Genomic DNA, 27,189 nt, shown 5'->3' with positions numbered 1-27,189 from the left:
GTGTTTCCCTAACAAAAAAACTAAGTTCCAACAATGTATATGGCTTGTCTGTTTTGTTCCCAAGGGCACGGAACAGAGCCCCGGCATATAGAAAACACTCAGTAACAATTTATCAAATTGTCAAATGAATAATTGCATGCTCGATTCCTTCCTTAACCCTCCATAATCTATCATAAATCATATTGAATTCATCCAATCCCCTTAATTTCCACTCCCACCACTGTAACTCAGACCTTCATTATTTCATAGCTGATCTGCCTGTTTCAGTTCTCTTTCCTTCTGGCCCAGCTTACATATTGTCGTCCCATTCACCTCTCTAAGCACAGCTATCATCACGTATCCTTACTCCCATTCCAGAACCTTCAGTAGTTCTCTACTGCTTCTCAAACAAACACCACACCTCTGAGTCTAACATTCTAAGCCCTCCAGGATTTGCTCCAGCTCACCCTCCCCAGCCTCATCTTCCACTGTTCCTCAGTCACTTCCCCACATTCCAATCAAATTAGATGACCTGGATTTTTCTTACAGAAATGGTCTATACTGCAACCTGTAATAAGTGACATGTTAGCTGTTAGCATAATCTTAATTTTCTAGATTGGAGGAATTGAGACCTTAAATGGTTAAATAGCATGCCCAAGATCACCTGGAATTACACAGGGATGGGATCAGAAATAAGATTTCCCAACTTTTGGTCTATTGCCAAGGCTACAAAAGAGAAATCTGATTTAGGAATGCTTAATTAAATTCCTTCTCCTCTAGGTAGCCATACTTAGAGAGGGGACAAGACCATACGTGCCCATCAATGACCCATCCCCTTGAGAAGGGCCCACCTCCCAGTGTCTCAAAGCATTTATCTCAATTTGATTTGGTAAATAAAATAACTGAAACATCATTTTGTTTCCTTATATTGTTGGGAAAAAATTTTTAACAACAAAATAAACCAAAGTTTTAAAATATGTAGTTTTTATTTAAAACAGAAAGCAGCATTTAGGCTTATTGTGCAAAAGCAGGAAATACAACTTATTAGCAATACTTCAAATCACACCTAATGAACATAAATCCTTCCGTAATGGTCTCTGTGCTGCACACCTGTTGAAAGTGTGTCAGCACAGTTTTGGCAAGGATTTTCTGCCAGGAGCTCATATAGGGCTGCGTGTGTATGTATCACTTAAGCTGATGGCACTAATATTAGTGAAATAAGGAGAAAATTGCAAACATTATTGGGAACACAGGTACCCTCCACATCTAACCTGAGTTAAACCTGAAACCAACTTCTTATCCAATGTAGGACTGAAGATCCTAATGTGTTTTAAAAATTTAAAAGGAGTAATCAGTTCTCCAAGTGTAAGATAATTAAGTTAGGCTACAAGGAAAAAGAGGCCTCTGGGCTGGGCCTGTGTGGGTAGAATATCAAAAGGTAAAACTAAAAGACAGAGTACATTCCAACAGGAAGAGAGGGAGACCAGAAGAAGGTGGGTGGGTGGAGGGATCTTCCACACTAAGGAAACAGGAAGTAGTTCGCCACAGCTAAAATACAATATGTGACAGGCAAAAGTGTGAAATACAATTAGAAAGATACAGATATGGGTCTAACTCTATTTTGCAAATATTGTAGGTAAGGAAATTAAAGTGATTTGGCCAAGTACAAACATGAAGCAAAGCCGGAACTAAAACAAGGTTTTATATTCCCAGTTAGGCACTCTTTCCACTATAGTCAGACACCACATAACAATGTTTTGGTCAACAATATTTGGGATGGTAGTTCCATAAGATGATTATGAGGCTGAAAAATTCTTATTGCCCAGTGACCTTGTATCTGTCATAAAGTTGTAGCTATAGCACAATGCATTACCTTTTCTATGTTTAGCTATGTTTAGATACAGAAATACCATGGTGTTACAAATGTCTACAGCATTCAATATGGTAACATGCTGTACAGGTGTGTAGCCTGGGAGCAATAGGCTATACCATATAGCCTAGGGGTGCAGTAGGCTACATCGTCTAGATTTGTGTAAGTACACTCTGTGACATTCAAACAAGGATGAAATGGCCTAATAACTCATTTCTCAGAACGTACCCCCATCGTTAAGTGACACATGATTGTATACTATCCTACCATAGGTTAGGGATGGACTATGGCAGATAGGAAATACTCTTCCTTTAAAAAGTAACAAGTGGTAGAAAGGTTAAACAAATTGCCTCAAGATCACATGTCCAGTTGAATAACTGGCGGTATTGATAATAAGCCCAAGTCCCTGGAATAGCACACCTCAGAGCTCCTTGACTTGAGAAGATACAATACAGGGGGCTAACATGAATCCTTTCCCCCAGAAGCACTGCTCTTACCACTGCACTTTTTAGGACCTGTCCTAAAAACCACAGGGATTTTTAAGGAATAAATGAAAATGGAGCTTATTTTTCTTCTATTTCCCTGCCCAGCTTCAGCAGAACTGAGCCAATTGAGGCTGAGAATCAATTAATAAAAAATTAGAAAAGTGGGGAACTAGAAATATGTTGTAATAAATGGAGGGTCAGGAGGCATGAGCTCTAGTCCTGGTTATACCACCAACAGTGGTGTGGGCTTTTGACAAAGTACTTCACCTCATAAAATTTATAAAATGAGGAGGATGAACTAGATGATGTCTAAGGCTATCAAATTATAATTTTCTATTATTCTAATAAGCAGATATCTCTTTGCAGAAAAAGGTACACCTGAAAAGTTGAAGGTAAACTGAACTTTAGGAAGCTATATATAATTTTTTTTTTTTTTTTTGAGATGGAGTTTCACTCTTGTTGCCCAGGCTGGAGTGCGATGGCGTGATCTCGGCTCACCACAACCTCCACCTCCCGGGTTCAAGCGATTCTCCTGCCTCAGCCTCCTGAGTAGCTGGGACTATAGGCATGCACCACCACACCTGGCTAATTTTGTATTTTTAGTAGAGACAGGGTTTCTCCATGTTGGTCAGGCTGGTCTCAAACTCCCGACCTCAAGTGATCTGCCTGACTCAGCCTCCCAAAGTGCTGGGATTACAGGCGTGAACCACCACGCCCGGCCATATATAATTTTTTTAATGCAATAGGAGTGTGCCCTATTTAAAAACACATTGATCAATCTTGTAATTTAAATTTTTGTTTATATGATTGTAACACGGTATACCCATTAAACAAAAAAGACACATATATCAACTGTCAGTTCTAAGAAATTAAAAAGGGATAGGAGTCAATTCTGAAGGCCTTGTTTCAGCTTAACCTACAGATTTCCTGGCTGCCTACTTAAGATAGTCATTAGGAGTATATATGGCCATTTTGTATTCAACAAATTATTAAGCATTGGAGAGCATTTTTTTAGTGAAGACAGGCACTTTGTGCAACAGAGAAAAAGTCCTTAATTTTTCACTAAACAAGAAAAACTTTTAAAAGTGGGAGAAATACAAAAATTAGCCAGATGTGGTGGCGCATGCGTATGATCCTAGCTACTTGGGAGACAGAGATGGAGGTTGCCCAGGAGGTTGAGGCTGCAGTGACCTATGATTGCATCACTGCACTCCAACTTGGAGTTAGACTCTGTCTCCAAAAAAAAAAATAATAGTAAGTAAAAACAAAAAACAAAATTAAGACTTCAATAGGTTTAAGAAAACAACAGGAAAAAAACAAGAACAAAGGCTTTTAATGGAGTTCAAGTTCCATAAAACACATATTTGTTTTTGCTTGCATACACATAAAGAAACTCTGGAAGATACTACTATCAGTGGTTGCCTGTGCAGGGAGATAGGAAATAGACAGATGAGAGACAGGTGTAAAAAGGAAACTTATTTACCAAGTACCTTTGAATTTTTAACCACTTAAATATATTACCTATTTTAAAAACTGAATTTAAAAATTTAAATGTTCCTTAAACAATTATTTGTAGCAAACAGCTGAAAAACAAGAAAGCCAAAGAAAGGAGGTATTAGAACGAAGTACCAAGAGACAAAGAAAATGTAAAGTAGCCCTGAGAAGTCTGAGGCAATTCAAAGAGAGGATGATTCAGATTGTTTGCAGGGACCAGCTGAAAAAGTCAGTGTGAAACCCAACAAGGACCTCAGATACTTATGATAGCCAAACCAGTACCAGCTGGAATAAATAACAGTATCTCGAAAACGTGGTGCACAACTTTTAGGGCCCTGTGTCCCTTGGGAGTGTGAAATCCGAGCTAAAACCAGAACTTCACTAATAGAAAACGAGTTCTCTCTTACCCACTAGGAGAAAGAGGGAAGGAAATAAGAAACAAGTTTTTGTGAGAGTCACAAAGACAATTCATCAGTTAGAAAATGAGACCTATGAGGAAAAGATAAAGGATTCCACTGGTATCATTTAGCAAAGAAAAGAGATTCTATTTTGCGAAGAATTATTTAAGGCAGCCCTTGAAGAACAAACAGAAAGGAATGTCCTCTTAAAGTCATTTCTACCCTTATGACTTTTTGATTTGTGGGTTAATTCCCAGTGTGCTTCCTTGTAGAAGAGATCTTGCTAATTTAGTACAAGGCCTAGTTAGCAAGAAGTGAAGGGGTTAAGATACGCTATTCTGGCATATTGACTAAGTTAAAGACATTTGTATAACAGCGGGTGCAAAAAAATCACTCTGATCTTCTTGTTGTTTCTTAAGAGTGGAAGATGAAATTCCTGTGTGGAAGACACTCCCTGAACCTGAAGGAAAGGCAACATGCTTATCTTCAAGGGCGAGAAGGTGAGACCAAGAGAATACTGTACTGACCTTGTTAAATAAGTCTTATCTTTTAAGCCTGCCCACATAATTTAGTTGCTTCTTCACAATTTACTACTTTTTTGTCCAATCCAGTATATAAATAACTGACTCTGCTTCTTTAGGTCTTCATTTCTTTCTTTTTTTCTTTTTTGAGACAGACTCTCACTCTGTCACCCAGGCTGGAGTGCAGTAGCACAATCTTGGCTGACTGCAACCTCCACCTCCCGGGTTCAAGTGATTCTCCTGACTCAGCCTCCTGAGTAGCTGGGATTACAGGCCCGTGCCACCATACCCAGCTAATTTTTGTATTTTTAATAGAGATGGGGTTTCACCATGTTGGTCAGGCTGGTCTCAAACTCCTGACCTTGTGATCCACCCACCTCAGCCTCCCAAAGTGCTGGGATTACAGGCGTGAACCATTGCGCCCAGCCTACGGTCTTCATTTCTTCATGAGGGTTCCTGTGCTACATAAAGCATGTATTATGCTTTTCTCCTGTTAATCTATGTTATGTCAATTTAATTCTAAGACCCAGCTGGCACCCTAGGAGAATGGAGGTGGACTTTTTCCACCCCTATAGAAGTATCAGCACTGCTGGTAAAGATTTGCAAGTTAACTTGAGCAAGAATATTATTTTTAATCAAGTAAAATATCCTTCATTTAAAAGTACAATGAACATATCTAAAGTGCTAGCAATGTTCTTTCTTGACATGCTGTTAGTTTGTAATCATTATGCTATGTATTTATACTTTATGAGCTTTTCTGTATGGTGGTATATATTTTTTCAAGATTACCAAAAAAAATTATTAAAGTTATCCTTTCCAGGAACAATTTACCCTTGTGATGAAGCCGAAGGCTGAAGTCAGAATTTCTACCATGAAGAATCAGTCTTCTAATGGAGCACCATCAAGAACAATTTGGCCTATCCAATGAATGACACCCATCAGGTCCAGAGACCCACTCTCTTTGGTAAGTCCCCACTCTCAAGCCAGGCCACTGAAATCTGAGGCATTGGGAATGGAAAGAGGCTGTCTATAGAGCAGGAACCAGGGAAAAAGAGTATGCAAAGGAAAATTGGGCTCTAACAACTATTAGCTCTATATATTTTTTCATATCTCCTGTCAGGTTTAAGAAAATGAGAAATTAGAAATGAGATCATGTCCTTTGCAGGGACATGGATGGTGCTGGAAGCCATTATCCTCAGCAAACTAACACAGGAACAGAAAACCAAACACCACACATTCTTACTTATAAGTGGGAGCTGAATCATGAGAACACATGGACACATGGGAGGGATCAACACACATCGGGGCCTGTCAGAGGTAGGGAATGGGGGGAGGGAGAGCATCAGGAAGAATAGTTAATAGATGCCGGGCTTAATACCTAGGTGATGGGATGATCTGTGCAGCAAATCACCATGGCCCACATTTACCTATGTAACAAACCTGCACATCCTGCACATGTACCCCTGAACTTAAAATACAAGTTAAAGGAAAAATAAAAAATAAAAACTATAAAACAAAAAGAAAATGAGAAATTAATTTGCATTTGAGTTGGAAAAAATAGTTTAGGTCCAGAGAGATGAAGTGTCTTGCCGAAAATTACAAACTAGTTTTGAGAAGGTTTTTTTCTTCATTTATTTCCCCATAAATTATCTGTGGTAGCTTGGACAATACATTTACTAAAAAATAAAAATGTAAATAATAAGGCCAGGTGCGATGGCTCACACCTGTAATCCCAGCATTTTGGAAGGCTGAGGCGGGTGAATCACTTGAGGTCAGGAGTTTGAGACCAGCTTGGCCAACATGGTGAAATCCCATCTCTACTAAAAATACAAAAATTAGCTGAGTGTGGTGGTGGGCGCCTGTAGTCCCAGCTACTCAGGAGGCTGAGGCAGCAGAATCGCTTGAACCCAGGAAGCAGAGGTCGCAGTGAGCTGAGACCGCACCACTGCACTCCTGTCTGGGCAACAGTGCGAGACTCTGTCTCAAAAAAAAAAAAAGTAAATAATAAACATGGTAAATTATGGTAGAATCAGGATTTCTTACTTCCAATCTACCGTTCTTTACATCATATCATTTTGTTCATTAAACTTTCTAGATTTCCCAGTGAAAGAACAGACTAATGGTTCCACTTTTTTCTATTACGTAGCTGCTCTGAGCCTGTAGTCCCAGCTACGCAGGAGAGTGAGGCAGGAGAATTGCTTGAAACCAGGAGGCGGAGGTTGCAGTGAGCTGAGATCACGCCACTGCACTCCAGCCTGGGCGACAGAGCAAGACTCCATCTCAAAAAAAAAAAAAAAAAAAAAAAATCTGTCAAATGAGGGGTTCCCTAAAACGGTGTCTGATGCCAGTCCTCAAGATTCAATTATTTAGCTGGTGGATCACCCAGGAGGCTTTGTTTCTCTACTTGGTGCCTTGTTTCAGAAGATAATCATGAGAAAGTAGCTGAAGATTTAGTCAAATATTTGTTCAGGAAGTTTGAAACTCTTGGCCAAATGAAGATTAGTAGTTCTTTCACTTGAGCTCCCTACTTGCATGAATAACAGAATTGACTCTACTGCAAGAATCAGTGCTGGAAGAATCAATCCAGACAACTGTGTAACAGGGCCAATGACCTGGGTCTGTCCTCATTGGCTGTTTGCTTTACTCAGTTTTATTCCTGTCCCCAGCAGCTATGCTCTAATGTCACAAAGGGAGCTAGACAAGAGAGCAAATACACCATCTCCACCACACTACTCTACTGATGTCACAATAGTAACAACATCTTTATATTAAAGATAGAATTTTGAATGTGTGTTTGAGAGAGGGAGGCTGTACTATCTTTTACTATCCCATCTTTTAAAGACTCTTTTAAATAGTCCCATTTCATTTACATCCCCTTTTTCTGATCTGGCCTGGAGCCAAAATCAGAAGTCTTATTAATAGAGTTGATGAGTGCCAAGACCACAAATGACCCTTAGTAGCAATTAAAATGAAAAATAATCCCCACAAGCCAGAACTGAAACAAAAGGTTAACTACTTATCCAAACTTTGGCAAAGAGACACAGTTCTTTCTCCCCCATCTCCCTAAGCCTGTTAGGAAACAGGTATCTGCAGCTGCTCCTCCTCCTCCAACTCACTTTCTGCGTCAAATAGTATGGGTCAAAGTCCTCCAGGGGAACTGCAACCAGGCCTTGGGGGATGTCCCCGTAGATGAAAGGCAAACTCTTCCCTGCTTCCAGGTCGCTGTTTGGCTTGGGCTTGCTGTCCTCATCGTCCTCCCGATGACTGCCATCGGCCTTTGGTGGTTTCTTGAGCTTGCTCTCAGCAATGCGCCTCTCAATGTTTGCCAGTGACTCAGGGGTGAAAGGCTTGAAACTATCAGGGCCTGGTGGTGCAAGCAGCCGCGCTGCCATCTTCTCATCCTGCAGCAGCTTCGTTAGTTATGCTGCGTCCAGGACAGGTCAGCTCTGGAAGAAACAGCAACACAGACAGCATTAATCAATCACTGCTCTAAAAAGAGGCCAGACTAAACCATCTCACTCTCAACCTTAATTCACAACCTTTGCAAAAAAAACACATAGTTTCTTCCATGACATGCTTATTTTTCTTTTCAGGAAATCTGTGGCATGGACTGATCTGCCAAGGGAGATCAAAGATCAGGAGTCTCCTGAATTGCTAGTTATTTATTATATTCACTCAGATGCAACTCACTATTAGGAACCACATATGACAAAAAGGATATATTCTACTCCCTCAAGGAACTTCTATTCTAAACAAATAAGGACTATGTAACATTACCCAGGGGCATATATTAGCTGTGAAGTCCTTACAGTTCAAGTCACCTTCCTTTCCTAAAGCTCCACTCCCCAAAGAAAAACTCTTCCTTTCAAGGGCAAGATGAGGATAAATTGTCATTCTTCTCAAATTTCAGTTTCTGAAAACAAAATAAACCCTTCAAACTTTGGAGACACAAAATATAGATAAAATCGCTTCCATCTGCTTTAGTTCTTCCATTTCAAGTTATTTTTCAATCATCAAGTTGTGTAAAATCCATCCAGCATAAAAGTCCAAAAGTATCTTCTTCAACCATCAAGCTCAGAGGGCAGATACTGTTCTAAGTGCCACCTGCTTAGCAACTAGAAAAAGCAAATGGGAGTGGAATCCTAGAGAACTTCCTCTGATGCAACAGCACTGCAGCACTGCAGGCAGAGCAGCAGCAGAAGGGCCTGCGTGCGACTCCTGAGAGGGGCTCAAACCAGGAAGGACGGAGACGTGAGAACAGTTGCAAACAAAAATTCCCTTCTAAAAAGAAAACTGAAGTAATGTCTTATGAGAGCCAATGATTTCTAAGCATGGTATTTGAAAAGCTCATTTTCCATTTATGTTTATAAGAGTCCTGGATTATTTAAACACATGCAGTAAAATGGAGGAATCAATCCCTGGTTTCAAAAGCAGCAGTATTCAGTTTCAAGCACAAAATGACCTGAGCAGGTAAGTTTACTGTGAAAGGCTTAGGGCTTTGCTGGCAGTTCATTGGGTGCTCATGGTACTGCTTTTTTCTCTTTAGTTTTGTGAACACCATAAGAACAATCCAGGAATTTTTTTTTTAAGACTAAAGATTGTTCTTTCCCCTTTTGCTTAGCCCTCAAGGTCCACTTCAAGGCAACTAAACCTTGAGGCTCCTCAAGAGAACAGTAGTAGAGTTAACTCTAAATAAGTTGGGAATGAGATACCCAAGAGCTCCTTCCACAAATCCACCTGCTGAGATTCCAGATCTCTGGAGCAGTGGTGATTGCTAAGTGTTGCAAGACAGTGTGTAGTGTCTGTATGAGGGCCGGTCAGCTTGCTCACTCACAGCAGGGGGCTAAAGAGGCCATAACCACAAGTTTGCCCCACATAGACCAGTTGGCTTCACGCTGCGCAAAAACCACCACCATCCTACAGACAGTGGGGTCAGAGAAATCATTTCCATGTAGGAATTATCTAAGGAATTCAGAGCTGTAAGGATTTTACAAATTTAGTCCATTTGATTTTAGATGAGGAAAGGTGGGGTCCTAAGACATCAGACAACTTGCCCTGAGTCACAGGGCCAGGATAAAAATCACAACCAAAATGCTCTGGTGCCCCATCTCAGAACTTCTTTCATTATAATAAATATCAGTTATTTATCCTCCTTTGCTATGTCCCACTACTCCCTAACAGGAATAGTTTTGTTTAGTAAGTAAATCACATAGATGTTATGGCTTTACTGATCTAAGACTAGTTACAATGCTTTCCCCAACCTAAAATTCCTTTTCCTTCATTCTTCTCCTACCCATCCTTGCATTGCCCCCCAATAAATCCCTACTCCTCCACAGTCTTCCCACCAACTCAGCCTTGACTAATTATTTCCCTTTCTACACTCCTACAGCACTCCACCATGACCTTAGCTAACATTTATCACATACTATGTTTCAAGCATTATTCCAAGCACCTTGCTGGTATTAACTCGTTCAATCTCCAGAGCAGCATATGAGGCAGATATTATTATCACCACTTAACAGATAAAGAAACAGAGTCAGAGAAAACTAATGTAGCTTGCCCAAAGTTATAGAGCCAGAAGAAGATTTGAAACACACTAAATAAACTTGTTTTGGCACTTAATCATTGCTGAATTGTACCTTTTAGAGAATAAATTCCCAGAGGTCTTAAACTTCTTTTGTATCCCTTTCACAGTGAATAAGATTATGCCTGAAACCCATAATGAGACCAAATGCATGAAGACTCCTTGGCTCCTACATTCACACTCATTCTCAATCCTAGGTCACTCTCTGTTCCTACGCAGAGGACAAAGAACACTGCAAGAGTAAGTCACTGAAGATGCTGACAAATTCTTGTGATCTAATTGCAGGCACCTGGGTTCTTCACAGCAGCCCAGGGCTAAGTTCTCTGTCTTTGCTTTCAGATCCTGTTTCTTCCTGTCTTCTCCAAGACTGTGTCCTCTCGATTACCCCTGCTCTTCATCCCATCTTCAATTGTACCTTTTCCTGTATCTTCTCCCTTTACATCTCCACCCCCACTCTCTTTGTTTGGCTTAAGTGACACTATGTTATCCTGGTTGAACTACAGCTGCAGTCTCCTCTTCCTCATCAACTCTTCCTTCTCTAAGGGCTGGCCTTCTGAAATTTCTCTGTTACAGTCTTTTAGGGATCTCATTTATTCAAAATAATTTGTACATTGGTAATTTTCAGATTTCTCTCACTGGCCCTGATTGTTCTCCTGAGTCCCACAGCTGTCTCTAGTGGCCTGCTATGACTTTCAAACTAAAGCATTTAAAAACTATTCATCTTACTCCAAAACTGATTCTTCTTCCTGGCTTTCTTATTTCTGGACCAGCCATCCAGCATGGAATCTCAGTTATCTCTGCCAAGTCCCCTTTTGCTATCCATACCCAACCAGTCATCAGCCTTTCCAATTGCTCTTCCTTAAGAGCTTCCATTTTCAATAGTATTGCCCTAATTCAGGTCCTACTGCAGTAGTCTCCCCACTAGTGGACCAGCCCTCAGTCCACCAGGCATATTTCCAAGGATCCATTTCCCTAAAAATCTGCTTTCATTAAGTCATTTCCCTCCCTCAAACTTACCAGTTATAGGACAGATTCCAAATTTCTGCCATTTCACTGCCACTCAAGGCATTCTACAACCGTATGCATCATAAACATTCTCTTCTATGGCTTCTCTGCAAGAACACCTGCGCTGGTAACTGTATTCTGAGTTTTAAATTTTTTGAAGGTATAATACAATAAAGCAATAAAGTATGCAAACCTTAAGTGCACAGCTTATTTTGTACATATGTATGTGCCTGTGTAACCACCACTGAAATCAAGATGTAGAAAATTTACTTTCAGCATCCCAGACAGCTCTCATGAGCCATCAATAACCACCCCTAGCAAAAGCTATTCTGACAGTTATCACCATATATTAGTTTTGCTTCTACCTGAACCTCATATAAGTAGACTATAAACATACTCTTTGGGTTCTGGCTTCTTTCACCCAACACTATTTCTGTGAAATTCATCTTCTTATATGTGTAGCAGTAGTTCATTCTGCATAGTATTCCATGTATGAATGTAGTACAATTTATCCATTCTACCTTGATGGGCATCTAAGTTGTTTATAGTTTTAAGCTATTATGAATAAAAGCTGCTAAGAGCCTTCTTGTAGGTGTCTTTTGGTAGCCATACCTTTATTTCTTTTTGGCATATAGCTAGGAGTGGAATGCTGGGTCAGAGAATGGCAGATATTTAGCTTTAGTAATATTCCTACCAGCAATATAAGAGGGTTCCAGTTGTTCCAAATCCTCATCAACACTTGGAATGACAGTCTTCTGAATTTTACCCACTCTGGTGGGTATAGCAGCATCTCGTATTTTTTAAAAAAGTAATTTATTGGGATGAAATTTACATAACATAAAATTAACCACTTTAAGGTGAACAATTCAGTGGCAATTAGTACATTCACACTACCAGTTATCTAGTTCTAAAACATAAGCAGTTTCTCTCCATTCCCAACCTTCAGCCTCCACCCTTTGCCATCAGCTCCTAGTAACTATCAGTCTTCATTCTCTCTCTACTGATTTATCTATTCTAGATGTTTCATATAAATGGACTCACACAATATGTGAGCCTTTGTGTCTGACTTCTTTCACTTAGCATAGTGTTCTCAAGGCTCATCCATAATGTAGCATGTATCAGTACTTCATTCCTTTCTATGGTATTTCATGCAGGGTACAGAATCAACGTACAAAAATCAGTAGCATTTCTATACATCCACAACAAACTAGCAGAAAAAGATATCAAGAAAGCAATCCCAATTATAATAGCCACCAAAAAAATAGTAAGACCTAGGAATAAATTTAACCAGGAAGGTGAAAGATCTCCCCAGGAAAACTAAAACACTGATGAAAAATCAAAGATCACGAAAAAAAGTGGAAAGACATCCCATGTTCATGAACTGCAAGAATTAATATTGTGAAAATAACCATACTACCAAAAGCCATCTACAGGTTCAATACAATCCTTATCAAAATACCAATGAAATTATTCACAGAAATAGAAAAAACAATCCTAAAATTTCTATGGAACCACAAAAGACCTTGAAAAGCCAAAGTAATCCTGAGCAAAAGGAACAAAGCTGGAGTTATCACACTATTGGATTTCAAAATATACTACAAAGATACAGTATCCAGAACAACATGGTATTAGCATAAAAAGACACACAGACCAATGGAAAAGAATAGAAAACACAGAATTAAATCCACATATTAATAGCCAACTGAATTTTGACAAAGGCACCAAGAACATTCATTGGGGAGGGATAATTTCTTCAATAAATGGTGCCGGGAAAACTGGATAACCATATGCAGAAGAATGAAACTGGAACCCTATCTCTCACCACATACAAAAATCAACTCAAAATGAATTAAGGACTTACATGTAAGTATGAAACTACTAGAAGAAAACATAGGAGAAACACTTCAGGACATTGGTCTGGGCAAAGATTTTATGGAGAAGACCTCAAAAGCACAGGAAACACAGGCAAAAATAGACAAATGGGATTATATCAAACTAAAAAGCTTCTGCACAGCAAAGGAAACAATCAGCAGAGTGAAGAGACAACCAGTAGAATGGGAGAAAATATTTGTGAACTATTCCTCTGACAAGGGATTAATATCCAGAATATATAAGGAACTCAAACAACAGCAAAAGACTAAATAATTCAATTAAAACATAGGCAAATGAACTGAATAGGCATCTCTCAAAACAAGACATATAAATGGCCAAAACGTATATGTAAAAATGCTCATCACTTATCATCAGGGAAACGCTAGAAAAGTGGATTTTGAAAAGTGGATTAAATTGCTAGAAAAGTGGATTTTGAATGTTCCTAATACAAAGAAATGATAAATATTTGAGATGGATATGCCAATTACCCTAATTTGATCATTACACACATTGTATACATGTATCAAAATATCACACTGTACCACATATTATGTGCCAATTAAAAATAACAATAAAACCAAAAAAACCCCAAAATATATATCCCAGAAATGTATATACCACAATTTGTTTACACATTCATCTGTTGATGGACATTGAATTCTTTCTACCTTTCGACTACTATGAACAGTGCACACACATGTACTTATTTTAGTACCTATTTTCAATTCCTTTGAGTCTATACCTAGGAGTGGAATTGGTAATTCTACATTTAACTTTTTTGAGGAACTGCCAAACTGTTTTCCTGAACTATTTTGCATTTTGTGGCTGAACCATTTTGTATTCCCAACAGCAATATAAGAAGGTTACAATTTCTCCATATCCTTGCCAACACTTGTTACTTTCCTTTTTCTTACCTTTTTTTTTTAATTGCTGCCATCCTAATGGGTGTAAAGTGGTACCTCACTGTGGTTTTGATTTGCACTTCCCTAATGATACTGATGCATTTTCTCATGTTTGTTGGCTCACTCTTGTCTAAATTTGTATTTGTCTGATGATACTGAGCACTTTCTCAAAGGTTGATTGGCCATTTAGACATCCTCCTTTGTGAAGTGCTGATTTAAGTCTTTGCTCACTTTTTCCTATTGGGTTAAACTGCATTTTTCTTACTAGTTTGTAGGAGTTCTTTGTGTATTCTCCATTGAAGTCATTTGTCAGATATAATATTTCAAATATTTCCTCTCTTTCACCTGTCTTAATGGTGTCATTTGATAAACTGTAGTTCTTAATTTAATTGAAATCCAATCTATCAGTCTTTTCCTTCATGTTAGTACTTTTTTATTCTAGGAAATCTGTGCCTATTCCAAGGCCATGTAGGTATTCTCCTTTGTTTTACAATCTTTATTATTTTACCTTTCTCATTTAGTTTTGAAAACCATATGAACTGATTTTTACATATGGTGTGAAGTGGAGGACAAGGTTCATTTTTTTCCTGTGGTTATATAATTGACCCAGCATCACTTAATAAAATGTCTGGTCACTGTTACTTTCACTGACTCCTAAAAATATTTTCATTTCCTTATTTTAAACCTCCTGACATCTTTCTTTCTTACCTAAGTTCTATTCATCCATTAAAACAAGCTTAAATGTCTTCTGTTTCTGAGGAAGTCATCTTGCACAGTAACAAACTTGTTAGATTTAGAAGGAACTTAGAGACCACCTAGTTCAATTTGCTTCATCCATAAGTTATATAAGAGAGGCTGAATTGTCTAACTGCCAATTAGTGACAGATGCAAAGCTATGACCCACATTTCTTGGCTTCCAATATAATGTTCTTTTCACTAAAACACCCAATCTCTAAGTCAATGACCTTGTCCATCATACCACTACTATATCATTGTGCATCTTCCTGCAGTGCTAAAGATGACACAGGCAGCCCAGATGATAAAGCAACAACAAAAGCAACTTTTGGCTCTGGCAGTTCTAAAAGAGATTGAACTAGACTCAAAGATACGGACAAACAAATGGGTAGAGCTCTCTTCTTTTGGTTGTCCAGGAGGATTAAGACCTTAAAATGCAACCAGCCACAGTGACTCATGCCTGTAATCCTAGTGCTTTGGGAGGCTTAGATGGGAAGATCGCTTGAGGCCAGAAGTTTGATACCAGCCTGGGCAACATAGGAAGATACCATCTCTACAAAAAGTAAAAAAATTTATCTGGGTCCCCCTGGTGGTCCCAGCTGCTGGGGAGGCTGAGATGGGAGGATCACTTGAGCCCAGGAGTTAGAAGCTACAGTGAACCATGATGGTGCCACTGCACTACAGCCTGGGTGACACAACTCTTGTGTCTAAACCTGTCTCTAAAAAAGAAAAAAAAAAAAGACCTTAAAATGCCAACTGTGGCCTGAAAACAAACAAAGTAGAATCCAAATTAAGGGATACGGCATGAAAGAGGAAAAGAAAACCAGTATTGAAATGCGGTTATAACAGGAATGAAAGGAAGAGAAGTCATCTAGGAGGGGCTGTTAAAGCAAACACTCCAGGGCCAGGTGCAGTAGCTCATGCCTTACAAAGTGCTGTAATCCCAGCACTATGGGGGGCTGAGCCAGGCAGATCATTTGAGGCCAGGAGTTCGAAACCAGCCTGGCCGACACAGCAAAAACCCATCTGTACTAAAAATACAAAAATTAGCTGGGCGTGGTGTACATGCCTGTAATCCAAACTACTTGGGTAGCTAAAGCACCAGAATCGCTTGAACCTGGGAGGTGGAGGTTGCAGTGAGCTGAGATCATGCTACTGCACTCCAGCCTGGGTGACAGAGTGAGTCTCTGTCTCAATAAATACATAAATAAAGCAAACACTTTATGCTAGAACACACAAAAAAATATGTTGGAAGGAAGATCAAATAAAAGGTAGCAAGTAGCACTAAGGTCTTGTCTCAGGCTGGGTGCAGTGGCTCACACTTGCAATCTCAGCATTTTGGGAGGCCAAAGCAGGAAGACTGCTTGAGGCCAGGTGTTCAAGGCCAGCCTGGTCAACTATAGTGAGACCCCATATCTACAAAAGATTTAAGGGGAAAATTAAAAAGATCTTGTCTCATACTTGAAAAAAAACAAAGTTGGAGGACTCACATTTCCTGATATCAAAACTTACTGCAAATCTATAGTAATCAAAACAATGTGGTACTGGCATAAAGACAGACATATAGACTAATGGAATAGATTAAAGAGCCCAGAAATAAACCCTCACATATATGGTCAAATGATTTTTGACAAGGGAACCAAGACCATTCAATGGGGAAAACAATCTTTTTAACAAATGTTGCTGGCAAAACTGGATATTCACTTGCAAAAGAACGAAGTTGGATCCTTACCTTATACCATACACAAAAATTAACTCAAAATGGATCAAAGACCTAAATGTCAGAGCTAAAACTATAAAACTCTTAGAAGAAAATATAGAGGAAAAGCTTCATAACATTGGATCTGTCAATGATTTCTTAGACATGACACCAAAAGCATAGGCAATAAAAGAAAAAATAGATAAATGGAACTTTATTAAAATGAAAAGCTTTTGTTGCTCAAAGGATACTATCAAGAGAGTGAAAGGGCAACTCAGAGAATGAGAGAAAATATTTGCAAATTGTATCTGTGATAGAATTAATACCCAGAATATATAAAGAACTCCTAAAACTCAACAACAACAAAACCCAGTTAAAAATAGACAAAAGACTTGAATAGACTTTTCTCCAAAAACAGATATAAAAATGACCAATAAGCACATGAAAAGATGTTCAGCATCATTAATCATTAGGTAATATGAATCAAAATCACAATTAGATACCACTTCATACCCATTAGGATGTCTAATATTAAAACACAAACAAAATTTCTTACCTAAAAACACATACACACAGAAAATAACAAGTATGGGTGAGGATGTTGAGAAATTCAGACTCTAGTGCTCTGCTGGTGGTAAAGGAAAATGGTGCAGCTGCTATAGAAAACATTACTGCAGTTCCTCAAAAAAATTAAGCATAGGATTACCATAAGATCCAGCAATTCCAAAAGAACTGAAAGCAGGAACTCAAAAAGATATTTGTACACACATGTTCTTAGCAGCATTAGTCACAACTGCCAAAAGGTGGAAACAACCCAAATGTCTATGAGATAAACAAATGGATGAATGAATAAACAAAATGTGAAATATACACATAATGAAATATTTATGTAGCTTAAAAAGGCAAGAAATCCTGACACATGCTACAACATGGAGGAATCTTGAAAAAATGCTAGGTGAAATAAACAAGATACAAAAGGACAAATATTGTATGATTCCACTTATATGAGGTACCAAAAATAGTCAAATGCATAAAGACAGAAAGCAGAATAGGGGTAATCAGGGGCTGTGTGGGAATGAGAAGTTACTATTTAGTTGGTACAGAGTTTCAGTTTGGGATGATGAAAAAGTTTATAAATGATCTCGGCTCACTGCAACCTCCGCCTCCCAGGTTCAAGCAATTCTCCTGTCTCAGCCTCCCAAGTAGCTGGGACTACAGGTGCCTGCCACCACACCCAGCTAATTTTTGTATTTTTAGTAGAGACTGGGTTTCACCTTGTTGGTCAGGCTGGTCTCAAACTCCTGACCTCAGATGATCCACTCACCTCGGCCTCCCAAAGTGCTGGGATTACAGGCGTGAGCCACCTCGCTTGGCCCAGTTTATATATTTAAAAATGGTTATGATGGTAAATGTTATGGATATTTTACTACAATCTTTTTTAAAAGAGAGAAAAAAATTTACTATGCCCCCCAACATATGCCATAAATGATACTCTGATGAATAATAGCTCACTCCTGCCTTCAAAGGACCTTATAGTCTTCTGAGGTAGTAGACAGGTAAACAGGCAAAGTACAGTATGGTAAATCTTCCAATAAAGTAAAACAGGCTTTTACAGAATATACAAGCAAGACATCTAACCAAGTTTGGAGAGATCAAGGAAAGCTTCCTGGAGAAAGTAACATCTTAGCTAAAGCCCACAGATGGGCTGGTAGGGTGGGTTATGGGAAGAAAATGGGTAGAGCTTTGCAGGAAGAAGAAATAGCATATTTAAGAGACTACAGACAAGAGAGATCAAGCCACTTGGGTACTGCAAGCAGTTCAGTGTAAGTGGATTTCAGAAAATCAGCTAACAGGTAATCAAGTACCACATCAGGAACGCAAAGCCCTGCTCTCATGGGAAGGAGTTTTGCTTTTATTCTGAAGGCAATAAGGAGATAATGAAAGCTTCAAAGTAGAAAATGATTTGATCAAAGTTACATTTTAGGAAGGTTATTCTAGCTATAGTGTATAGAATGAGACGAGGGAGGAATAAGATCAGAGTGAGGAAGACCAGGAAGAAGACTATTGTAGCAATTCCACTGAGAGATGACAGCCTAAGCCAGGCAGCAGCAGCAGGGATGATGTACTGGACAGTTTTGTTGACTGACTAAAAGAGGAAGGTAAGATATAAGAAAAATCAAGGAAGACACCCAAATCATGAGCAAAGGGATGAAAGGTAGTGAAATTCACCGAGACAAGGAATAAGATGTGATGCAGAGTGTTCAGATTAAGATGACGACTACTTTTGAACATGCTGAGTCTGAGGTGCTTTGGTACCTCCAAATGGAGGCATCATATAGGCAAGGATATGTGCTTCTGAAGCTCAAGGGAATGATTTTTTTTCTCATCCATACTTGCTATTTATTTAGTCTTCTTGTTTGGAACAAAAAGTCAAGAATTCACAAATACCACCAGCTAAGCACCTGTTTCAAGTGAAACATCAGCTTCAGCTTAAAAAATAGTTTCTTTATAATTAATTAAGTAGTAGCAGAAGACCCATGTCAGCTGCTTCTTTCTTCCCTGGAGAAATTGGCAGGATAACTGCAATCCTAGGAGCTCTCAGTGTTGAATCTGGGAGGTGGAACAAAAAGAAAAGTGGCCTCTTCCAAATCATAGAGGTAATATGTAGAGAAGAGATATCCACTGATATGGTTTGGCTGTGTCCCCACCCAAATCTCATCTTGAATTGTACTCTCATAATTCCCACGTTGTGGGAATGACCAGGTGGAAGATAATTTGAATCATGGGGGCGGTTTCCCCCATACTGTTCTCATAGTAGTGAATAAGTCTCCTGAGATCTGATGGTTTTATCAGGGGTTTCTGCTTTTGCATCTTTTCATTTTCTCTTGCTGCTGCCATGTAAGAAGTGCCAGCCAGGCCCAGTGGCTCATGCCTGTAATCCCAGCACTTTGGGAGGCCGAGGTGGATGGATCACGAGGTTAGGAGTTCAAGACCAGCCTGGCCAACATAGAGAAACCCCATCTCTACTAAAAATATGAAAAATTAGCCAGGCGTGGTAGCGGGTGCCTGTAACCCCAGCTACTCAGGAAGCTGAGGCAGGAGAATCACTTGATCCCAGCAGGTGGAGGTTGCAGCAGGCCGAGATCTGTTGGGAGCAGGCCCCCCAAAATCTGGCCATAAACTGGCCCCAAAACTGGCCATAAACAAAATCTCTGCAGCACTGTGAGATGTTTATGATGGCCATAAAGCCCAAGCTGGAAGGTTGTGGGTTTACGGGAATGAGAGCAAGGAACACCTGGCCCGCCCAGGGTGGAAAACCGCTTAAAGGCATTCTTAAACCACAAACAATAGCATGAGCAATCTGTGCCTTAAGGACATGCTGCTGCTGCAGTTAACTAGCCCAACCTATTCCTTTAATTCGGCCTATCCCTTCATTTCCCATAAGGGATACTTTTAGTTAATTTAATATCTATAGAAACAACGCTAATGACTGGCTTGCTGTTAATAAATACATGGGTAAATCTCTGTTTGGGGCTCTCAGCTCTGAAGGCTATGAGACCCCTGATTTCCCACTTCACACTTCTATATTTCTGTGTGTATGTCTTTAATTCCTCTAGCACCGCTGGGTTAGGGTCTCCCCGACCGAGCTGGTCTCGGCAAGTGGTGCCCAATGTGGGGTGGGCCAGGTGTTCCTTGCCCTCATTCCGGTAAACCCACAACCATCCAGCATGGGCTTTATTGCCATCATGAACATGTCACAGTGCTGCAGAGATTTTGTTTATGGCCAGTTTTGGGGCCAGTTTATGGCCAGATTTTGGGGGGCCTGCTCCCAACAAGATCACACCACTGCACTGCAGCTTGGGCGACAGTGCAAGATTCTGTCTCAAAAAAAAAAAAAAAAAAAAAGAGTGCCTTTTGCCTCCCGCCATGATCGTGAGGCCTCCTCAGCCATGTGGAACTGTAAGTCAAATTAAACCTCTTTTTCTTCCCAGTCTTGGGTATGTCTTTATCAGCAGCATGAAAACGGACTAATACAGTAAATTGGCACCAGTAGAGTGGGGCATTGCTGAAAAGATACCTGAAAACATGGAAGCAACTTTGGAATTTGATAACAGGCAGAGATGGGAGCAGTTTGGAGGGCTCAGAAGAAGACAGGAAAATGTGGGAAAGTTTGGAGCTTCCTAGAGACTTGTTGAATGGCTTTGACCAGAGGCCTGATGGTGATATGGACAATAAGGTCCAGGCTGAGGTGGTCTCAGACAGAGATGAGGAACTTGTTGGGAACTGCAGCAAAGGTGACTCTTGCTACGTTTTAGCAAAGAGACTGGTGGCATTTTACCCTTGCCCTAGAGATCTGTGGAACTTTGAACTTGAGAGAGATGATTTAGGGTATCTGGCAGAAGAAATTTCTAAGCAGCAAAGCATTCAAGAGGTGACTTGGATGCTGTTAAAGGCATTCAGTTTTATAAGGGAAGCTGAGAGTAAAAATTTGGAAAATTTGCAGCCTGTCCATGTGATAGAAAAGAAAAACCCATTTTCTGAGGAGAAATACAAGCTGGCTGCAGAAATTTGCATAAGGAATCAGGAGCGAATGTTAATCTCCAAGACAATGGGGAAAATGTCTCCAGGGCATGTCAGAGTTCTTCATAGCAGCCCCTCCCATCACAGGCCCAGAGGCCTAGGAGAAAATAATTTTGTGAGCTGGGCCCAGGGTCCCCATGCTGTGTGCAGTCTAGGGACTTGGTGCCCTGCGTCCCAGCTGCTCCATCTGTGGCTGAGAGGGGCCAATGTAGAGCTCGGGCCAAGGCTTCAGAGGGTGCAAGCTCCAAGACTTGGCAGCTTCCATGTGGTGTTGAGCCTGCGAGGGCACAGAAGTCAAGAACTGGGGTTTGGGAACCTCTGCCTAGATTTAAGAAGATGTAAGGAAATGCCGGGATGCCCAGGCAGAAGTTTGCTGTGGGGCAGGACGCTTATGGAGAACCTCTGCTAGGGCAGTGTAGAGGGGAAATGTGGGGTTGGAGCCCTCAGACAGAATCCCTACTGGGGCAATGCCTAGTGGAGCTGTGAGAAGAGGGCCACCGTCCTCCAGACCCCAGAATGGTAGATCTACCGACCAATTGCATTGTTCGCTTGGAAAAGACAGACACACGATGCCAGCCTGTGAAAGCAGCTGGGAAGAAGGCTGTACCCTGCAAAACCACAAGGGTGGAGCAGCCCAAAACCATGGGAACCCACCTATTGCATCAGTGTGACATGGACATGAGGCCTTGAGTCAAAGGAGATCACTTGGGAGCTTTAAAATTTGACTGCCCCGCTGGATTTCGGACTTGCATGGGCCCTATATAACCCCTTTGTTTTGGCCAATTTCTCCCATTTGGAACAGCTGTATTTACCCAATACCTGTACCCCCAATTGTATCTAGGAAGTAACTAGCTTGCTTTTGATTTTACAGGCTCATAGGCAAAAGGGACTGGCCTCATCTCAGATGAGACTTTGGACTGTGGACTTCTGGGTTAATGCTGAAATGAGTTAAGACTTTGGGGGACTGTTGGGAAGGCATGATTGGTTTTGAAATGTGAGGACATGAGATTTGGAGGGGCCAGGGGTGGAATGATAAGGTTTAGCTGTGTCTCCACCCAAATCTCATCTTGAATTGTACTCCCATGATTCCCACGTGTTGTGGGAGGGACCTGGTGGGAGATAATTTGAATCATGGAGGTGGTTTCCCCCATACTGTTCTTGTGGTAGAGAATAAGTCTCACGAGATCTAGTGGTTTTATCAAGGGTTTCCGCTTTTGCATCTTTTCATTTTCTCTTGCTGCTGCCATGTAAGAATTGCCTTTCGCCTCCTGCCATGATTCTGAGGCCTCCCCAGCCATATGGAACTGTGAGTCCAATTAAACCTCTTTTTCTTCCCAGTCTCAGGTATGTCTTTATCAGCAGTGTAAAAACGGACTAATACATCCACATTTCAAGAATAGAGAAAGTGGCTTAATAAAAGAAACAGGACTACCCACTCTAGGAGACTACATAGAGACACATTTACACACCAAGGGTGGTGGCATGCCTATAGTCCCAGCTACTGAGGAGGCTGAGGCAGGAGGGTTTCTTGAGGCCAGGAGTTTGAGACCTCAGTGTGCCATGGTCACACCTGTGAATAACCACTGCTCTTCAGCCTTTGGGCAACATAGTGAGACTCTATCTTTTCCAAGTTCTGAGTTCAGAATTTTGTTTTTGAGATGAATGTAAAAGCATCTAAAGGTTATGAAAAAAATTCTTCCTGTGATAAAGAACCTCCCCCAATCCTGTAGATGTATTTGGCCTCCCATGAGTCAGTGGCCCCCACCCTTCTCCTCCCCAGAGGCCAGTTTGCAGCAGCACACCTCACGCCACCATCTTTGCTCCTCAAGGGAAAGATTTAATAGCAAGAAGCAAAAGAAGATAAGAAGCTTGGTACAGAACTATAGCTAGACTCTGAGGACTGCGAGACAGCTCTTTGCATGTTGATATATAGCTCATTTGGAATTAGCCAGAGGAGCAGCTCTGCACTGGGAGGAAGGTGGGTGGCTCTTATCATAGGAGAAGAGAAAAATGCAGCCAGATGGATGGTTTACACTGTCCCCACTCCCTGGGCTCCTCCCTTCTCCAATGACAACGAGATGCTACGCTGCCAATTTTCTACTTTGTTACTTACAGATTTCACTTTGGAAAATCTATAACAGTTCTAGAAATTGAAATAAAAACAATTTTGTCAAAGCTTAGTTTTAATCATTTTAAACATTAAAAACTGCAGTCTTCAGCCTCTCTTGATAACATCAAGATCTGCTCTCCCTCCTACCAGGTCTCAGGGACCTCGTCAGCCTGGTGAATGTCTGCAACCATGTTAATGGGGAACTGCCCGTGCATTCATCTGTCTCCCTGGATTTCCACCTAGTGAGGCCACTTCTGAAGTCTTTCCTTCCTACGTCTCACTCCACCCAATTTACCCAAAGCTGAGCTATTTGCCTCTGATTCTCAAGAACTGGTCTCTTCCTAATCCTTTTGAGATAGTCACTCTTGGTTGACTTACATGTATGTCTTCCCCCCAGAAACCCTTTGAAGGATCTGTTCATAGAATACTTTGACAGAGGCCTAGTGTGGATATAAATGTATGATTATCCATAAGTAACTATCAGGAGATACTTGTGAAGCACTTACACTTTGAGTACTTGGATATTTTTTTTTCCTTTAATTCAGAGATGGGGTCCCACTGTGTTGCCCAGGCTGGACTTAAACTCCTGGGCTCAAGCAATCCTCCTGCCTCAGCCTCCCAAGTGGCCGGGACTACTGGTGCATGCCACCAAGTTAGTACTTAGATATTTTAATCTAAAAACACTAAGAAAGATTCTTAAGAATGGATCCTATTTAATGAAGTCAATCCAATGATTACAATTATTATAAATGTATCCCAAAGCTTCTCTGAGCAAGTTCCATCAGTCCAAAATGAAGACAGGTTTCCACCTTGTACATACATCCATATAGCTACCAAGCTACTAGTATCCGCTTCCATCTCCCTGGCCCTGCAGACACTACAACTCAAAGCTGTCCTCTACTTTACCTCCCCATTCCCCCATCACCTATTTTTTCTTCAAATTTAACTTGCTTTCCATGTTTCTTTTATTTCTTCCACAAGGCACAAGAGCCTTTCCCTTTATATCGCAAACAGAAAACCCTTTGTAGTCTCTAACTGTTGCCTCCACACCTATTCTCATTTTCTTCACCAGTTTCCTTGATTCAAGTTATGATGCAAACAATTTTTCCTGCCCATTGTTCTAAAACTGAAAAGTGTTTCATTTCTTCTCGCAAAGTTTTTTTGTGGTAAAATATACATAATATACAATTTACCATTTTAGCCATTTTTAAGTATACAGTTCCATGGCATGGAATACATTCACATTGTTGTACTGTCATTGGCACCATCCATCTTCAAATCTTGTCATCCAATACTGAAACACTGTAAGTCAAGTTTTACTAGAATGCAGCCATATTTATGTAAGTATTGTCTGTGGCTGCTTCTGTGTTACAACAGCAGAGCTGAGTAGTTGCAAAAGGCTGTGTGGCCCACAACGCCTGAAATATTTACCATCTAACTCTTTCCAGAAAAAGCCTCTCTACTTCTTGTATAGTTACCATAGCAACCGTCTAACTGGTCTCACTGCCTCCAGTTTCATTCCTTTTCAGTCTACCTGTCCCAAGAGTGACTTTTAAGATATAATTCTGATAAATTAACTTCCTTGGTTAAAATCCATTAGTGGCATCCTGTAGACTAATGTGTTCCTGAATGTGTTCCTGGGGGCCACCATTTCCTCATTTGAGGGTTAAATGAGCTGATACATATGAAGTAGGTCTTTTTTTTTTTTTTTTACTTTTATCTTATTTTATTTTTATTTAATTTTATTTTATTATTATTTTTTTTTTTTTTTAATTGATCATTCTTGGGTGTTTCTCGCAGAGGGGGATTTGGCAGGGTCACAGGACAATAGTGGAGGGAAGGTCAGCAGATAAACAAGTGAACAAAGGTCTCTGGTTTTCCTAGGCAGAGGACCCTGAGGCCTTCCGCAGTGTTTGTGTCCCTGGGTACTTGAGATTAGGGAGTGGTGATGACTCTTAAGGAGCATGCTGCCTTCAAGCATCTGTTTAACAAAGCACATCTTGCACCGCCCTTAATCCATTCAACCCTGAGTGGATACAGCACATGTTTCAGAGAGCACAGGGTTGGGGGTAAGGTCACCGATCAACAGGATCCCAAGGCAGAATTTTTCTTAGTACAGAACAAAATGAAAAGTCTCCCATGTCTACCTCTTTCTACACAGACACGGCAACCATCCGATTTCTCAATCTTTTCCCCACCTTTCCCCCCTTTCTATTCTACAAAACCGCCATTGTCATCATGGCCCGTTCTCAATGAGCTGTTGGGTACACCTCCCAGACAGGGTGGTGGCCGGGCAGAGGGGCTCCTCACTTCCCAGTAGGCGCGGCCGGGCAGAGGCGCCCCTCACCTCCCGGACGGGGCAGCTGGCCAGACGGGGGGCTGAACCCCCCCACCTCCCTCCTGGACGGGGCGGCTGGCCGGGCAGAGGGGCTCCTCACTTCCCAGTAGGGGCGGCTGGGCAGAGGCGCCCCTCACTTCCCGGATGGGGCGGCTGGCCGGGCGGGGGGCTGACCCCCCCACCTCCCTCCCGGACAGGGCGGCTGGCCGGGCAGAGGGGCTCCTCACTTCCCAGTAGGGGCGGCCGGGCAGAGGCGCCCCTCACCTGCCAGACGGGGCGGCTGGCCGGGCGGGGGGCTGATCCCCCCACCTCCCTCCCGGACGGGGCGGCTGGCCGGGTGGGGGGCTGACCCCCCCACCTCCCTCCCAGACGAGGTGGCTGCCGGGCGGAGATGCTCCTCACTTCCCAGACGGGGTGGCTGCTGGGCGGAGGGGCTCCTCACTTCTCAGACAGGGCGGCTGCCGGGCGGAGGGTCTCCTCACTTCTCAGACGGGGCGGTTGCCAGGCAGAGGGTCTCCTCACTTCTCAGACGGGGTGGCCGGGCAGAGATGCTCCTCACTTCCCAGATGTGATGGCGGCCGGGAAGAGGTGCTCCTCACTTCCTAGATGGGATGGCGGCCGGGCAGAGACGCTCCTCACTTTCCAGACTGGGCAGCCAGGCAGAGGGGCCCCTCACATCCCAGACGATGGGCGGCCAGGCGGAGACGCTCCTCACTTCCCAGACGGGGTGGCGGCCGGGCAGAGGCTGCAATCTCGGCACTTTGGGAGGCCAAGGCAGGCTGCTGGGAGGTGGAGGTTGTAGCGAGCCGAGATCACGCCACTGCACTCCAGCCTGGGCACCATTGAGCACTGAGTGAACGAGACTCCGTCTGAAGTAGGTCTTAATAATACTTCCAATAATTGTTTTTAATATGGACCACTAACTACCTGCTAGACACAGTTCTAATAGCTTTATATATAATTCTTTTGATGCTTCCAACAACCCTCTGAGGTAGTTATTGTTCTTATCCCATACCACTGATGAGAAAACTGAGGCATAAAGAGGTTAAGTAACTTTGCTCTACGTCCCACAGTGGGATTCAAACCCAAGCTGTTTGGCCCCAAGGTCTGTGTTCTTAACAACTTCACCACACTACTTCTTGTGATCAGCACTCTTTCCCTTCCCTGCATCCCTTCTAAGATCCCTTCCAGCCCTATGAGATCATAACACTTAACTAATGAGCTCTCCTGGAATCTGACAGACTAAGCAAAGTTGGTTTCTCTGACAGGATTACCAAGATTCAAAAAACATAGAGGCTTAAATCAGAAGGAATAATATCCTGACTCAAAATCTATCATCAAATAATTATGTGTTGAATAAAGTAATGAAAATGCACACACACAGGCTAGAACAAAGGTCCAGCACTATTCAGTTGACCCTTAACACAACAATGACCAAGAATTTATCCATTCAATGAGAACGTCTTGAGTGTCTACTACATTCCAGGCATTGGAAAGCTTAGAATTTAAACCTGGTATCAGGATACACTCTCCTAAGTCATTATCTGTCTGTCATGTTGGAAAATAGATTTCTGTGTTGGACAGGAAGAAAGTTGCATTAAAATTTTAAAGTTTTT

General features: G+C 41.4%; 1 protein-coding gene across 4 annotated transcripts in view, besides 2 other annotated features; it reads right to left on the bottom strand.

Moving 5' to 3' along the window:
- SCN8A (sodium voltage-gated channel alpha subunit 8) overlaps positions 1–27,189 on the bottom strand; it is a 221,632-nt gene that overhangs the window by 141,908 nt on the left and 52,535 nt on the right. For all 4 annotated transcript variants that reach the window (NM_014191.4, NM_001177984.3, NM_001330260.2 and 1 more), the window contains exon 2: positions 7,864–8,193. In NM_014191.4, the coding sequence (NP_055006.1) occupies positions 7,864–8,139 (276 nt within the window). In that variant the 5' untranslated portion in view covers positions 8,140–8,193. The remainder of the gene's footprint in view (positions 1–7,863; positions 8,194–27,189) is intronic.
- Positions 7,638–8,220: an enhancer, noted in NCBI's record as "SCN8A eExon fragment used in the reporter construct". NCBI's record gives its function as "activates a pGL4.23 vector minimal promoter by reporter assays in HepG2 cells and mouse liver" and the evidence as "EXISTENCE:reporter gene assay evidence [ECO:0000049][PMID:25340400]".
- Positions 24,649–25,535: an enhancer, noted in NCBI's record as "NANOG-H3K27ac-H3K4me1 hESC enhancer chr12:52039206-52040092 (GRCh37/hg19 assembly coordinates)". NCBI's record gives its function as "activates a minimal SCP1, AML or CMV promoter by ChIP-STARR-seq in primed H9 embryonic stem cells {active_cell/tissue: H9 hESC(primed)}" and the evidence as "EXISTENCE:reporter gene assay evidence [ECO:0000049][PMID:30033119]".

Source organism: Homo sapiens, chromosome 12, assembly GCF_000001405.40.
Source record: "Homo sapiens chromosome 12, GRCh38.p14 Primary Assembly".
NCBI classification, from domain to species: domain Eukaryota; kingdom Metazoa; phylum Chordata; class Mammalia; order Primates; family Hominidae; genus Homo; species Homo sapiens.
The sequence above is the reverse complement of the archived record's forward strand: the minus strand, read 5'-3'. Positions and strand labels throughout refer to the sequence as shown.